We start from the raw sequence: 3,542 nt of genomic DNA, 5'->3' as shown, positions 1-3,542 counted from the left end.
TGATTTGGTGTATTTCATTTAAATCAGATTCTTCTGCTTTACTGCTTTGCTAATAGGGTTGTTCTGCGAGGATTTTTTTTCACATATCTGGCTGGGACTTGGAGCGGGAAACTTCATTTTGAAGAACTGGAAAAAAAAAATCCTGCCCCCAAGTAAGCCAACTTTGTTTCCTTACAGAGAAATGTGCATGAGACTTTGCCTAGCACTTCTCATAAGCTACTGGTATTTTTTTGGCTTCCATTGAACCATCCCAGTTGCCTATATATAGCCCTGTCTTGTGTAAAGAATTTAAAAAGCATTAGAATGCAGAAATCAAAGAGACAATAAATTTAAAACCAATCTTATTGTCTGCAGCCTAAAGTGTTATTCAGATCAAAGGGGAGGGGACATCTGGCTTCTGGCTTGCTACAAAAGGCAGATCATGTTACCTACCAATTGCTGAATTCATCCACTCTCATTTTTGGTGTCTAGAGAACATGGCTTTTTCAGCTCCCACTTGAGGCATATTGGGTGAATCAGCCAAACCTCCCGACACTCTCAAAAAGAAACAAGCTCTACAGGATCACATAAAAATGTACTGATGAGTTTGTTCCTGTGCCTCTTTGGTCATCTGTGAGTGCTTCAAGAACCCAAAGCCACGGCCATGTTGTCGTCACATGGCCCCGTCCACTGACCCCTCCTGTATAGGCCCATCCCCCAAAGCTAGAACTTTCTGGTTTGCAAAGCTAACTTAGTTGAGGAGACACATCCGTGTTAGATTATTTGACTCTGTTTTTGCCCAAATCACAATGTGAGACTGAGTCACCAAATACGTAGTTGAAAACTTGTGTGCTTCCTTTCTCCCATTTTGGTTATAAAAACATAGATTTGTCTTACCATACATTTTTTTCTAATGGAAGCTTTGAAAGCAAGGTCAATTGTGCTCTTCGACTAGGAATTTGCTTAATGTCTGTATAAATTGTATACATGGCTGGGCACGGTGGCTCACACCTGTAGTCCTGGCCCTTTGGAAGGCCAAGATGGGCGGATCACCTGAGGTCAGGAGTTCGAGACCAAACTGGCCAACATGGTGAAACCCCATCTCTGCTAAAAATACAAAAATTAACTGGGCACCATGGGAGGCACCTGTAATCCCAGCTACTTGGGAGGCTGAGGCAGGAGAATCACTTGAACCTGGGAGGCAGAGTTTGCAGTGAGCCGAGATCGCGCCATTGCACTCCAGCCTGGGTGACAGAGCAAGACTCTGTCTCAAAACAAACAAACGAACAAAAATATAGACATGATTCAATTTAAAGGCCTTTCTTAATATCCACAACCAGAAACAGCGCACATGGCTCTGACTTCATTTGTTATAATGAACAAATCGCAAAAACGCAGGATAGGATTATTTTTTCAGACTGTTTCAGAGACAGCAATCAAAGAAGGAAGCGCCACAATTAACAATATTTTCCAATTACTCAGTACTTCCTCATTACAACGCTCACTAATTCCTCACTCCAAAAAGTCTAGAAAGGAATGCAGACAATGGCAATATGGATTCTGTATTTAGAATATCACATAGAGCTCTTGGCAGCATTCTTTGACTACTGACATGGTTCACTCATTCTCCAATATAGTGGATAAGGTTTCTATTAAAGGGCTTCACAAATTGCTATGCTGCTCAGTCCCACTTGTATATTTCCCTTCCATTGCAATTTCCTTCTACTGATTTTGGTTCTCTACTTGCCTAGGGACCTTCTGGAAACTTACAAAACAAATCAAAATTGTCTCTTTACTTACTACCTCAGCCTTTTCCTCTCCTCACCTATTTTCACCTACCTTAATCTTTCAGGGAAAACTTTCACTGCCAGCCAAAAGTTAAAAAAAGAAAAATCACCAAGAGATTTTGCATCATCCTAGACTGATCGTCTTCTCCAAAAGACATGATTCTCTTCCACAATCTTAATTCATTATTCACTAAGCATACCCTTTATTGCTGATGAAAGACTTTCATTCACAAATACAAGGAATCTCAGGTGAGAGGTAAAAATTAGTGAGGAGATCTTAATTTGATTGCAAGACAGGTTTCAGGGTAGAAGAATATTTTAGAGTCTTCAGTTCCTGGAGGGAGTTGGAATTGAGATTTTTCCATCTAGTATTTCATCACCACTAATGGCTCGTTACTTCTATTTTGAGAATAGTGTCCAGCTTCCCTTGAGTCATGGGTGAGAATTTGGTATGGATGTGGCATTCAATTGTTAACAGTGTGTCTGGAAAGGAGGTGACTAGTTAAAATGTTTAATAAAATACAAAAGAATAGACCAGCAGGGAATAAAATAGCTCTTCCAGTCTTCCTTCCAACAACTGGAACGGCAAGTTTTCGGTGTCAAGTATCAGGGCAAGAAATCCAAATAAAATATTCTTTAACACCCACCTCTATTCTGTTCCCTTTTTCCTTGACAAACAGAGCCTCTCTCTGGAGCTCAATGCCACATTCCATAAACTTTTCTGTATGCCTTCCTGCTCTCAAAAAAAAGCCAGAAGTGGGGTTGTACATATCCTCACTACTAACTACTAAAAGAAAAACTTAATGATTTTCTTAATGAGGGTGTTAACATAAAATAACCTGTGGCTCTGAAAAGACTCAAGAATGCCCCCAACCAGGCTCTGCTCATTATATCTGTGTATTTATGGTAGATACAATAGCAAAAATGTTTTGTATTCCTCCATTAGAGAGCCGGGATTTTATTTTGACAGACATATAATTCTTCTCAGATTTCTAAAAAGTGGGCCTTTTTTCTACCCCTGCCCTCTTCCATCCTTCCATAAAGTGTAATCAATAAAGCCAAATTTTGGCAGAAGAGAAAGAAAGTGAAAAGCAGAAATGAATGTCTAATAATTGAAAGCATCATGGACTCCATTATGGTTTATGGCCTTGTTCTAGGGGTCGGATGAGCACACTGTAAAGAATGTGGCACTAAATTTATTAGCATGGTTATCATCTTTCAGACAAGACATAAAGCTGAGGGGACCCACTTCTTCCATCACCTGCCATCACTATAGATCCCATGGCACCTTCTATAAGAAGAGTCGAGTTATCCTGGCCCAGATCCAGATTCAACTATTTGATGACTTATATTTCCTTTGTAGTATGCCTGGGAGACATTATGGGCTCTTCTTCTTTGAAACTCTGTCACTACCATAAGCACAGCCAAAATGGCTCCAGCGAAAGGATGTAAGAGAAAAATTCTCACATCCTAGCATGTGGATCAAGTGAACAGATTGAACAGTGTGGCCTGAAGTACGAAGCTGAGCCATGCCTGGTCTGACCCACTCCACCATGACTGCTCACGTATATCAAAAATCCTAGATTGTGAATGGGCTACATCAATGCTATACAAATTATGGGTTTTCTGAACTCCACGCATTATATCCTTCTCTCAAAAAAGTTTTGAAAAGAAAAGACAGGTAAGTTGTATTTTCTGACTTGCCCTTATTATCTTGAGACTTAATCCCCAAACATTCTCCTAAAGTATTTAAAAGAAAGCAAATCACTCATGAGG

The sequence above is a fragment of the Homo sapiens genome, chromosome 15, assembly GCF_000001405.40.
Source record: "Homo sapiens chromosome 15, GRCh38.p14 Primary Assembly".
Classification (NCBI taxonomy): Eukaryota; Metazoa; Chordata; class Mammalia; order Primates; family Hominidae; genus Homo; species Homo sapiens.
The sequence above is the reverse complement of the archived record's forward strand: the minus strand, read 5'-3'. Positions refer to the sequence as shown.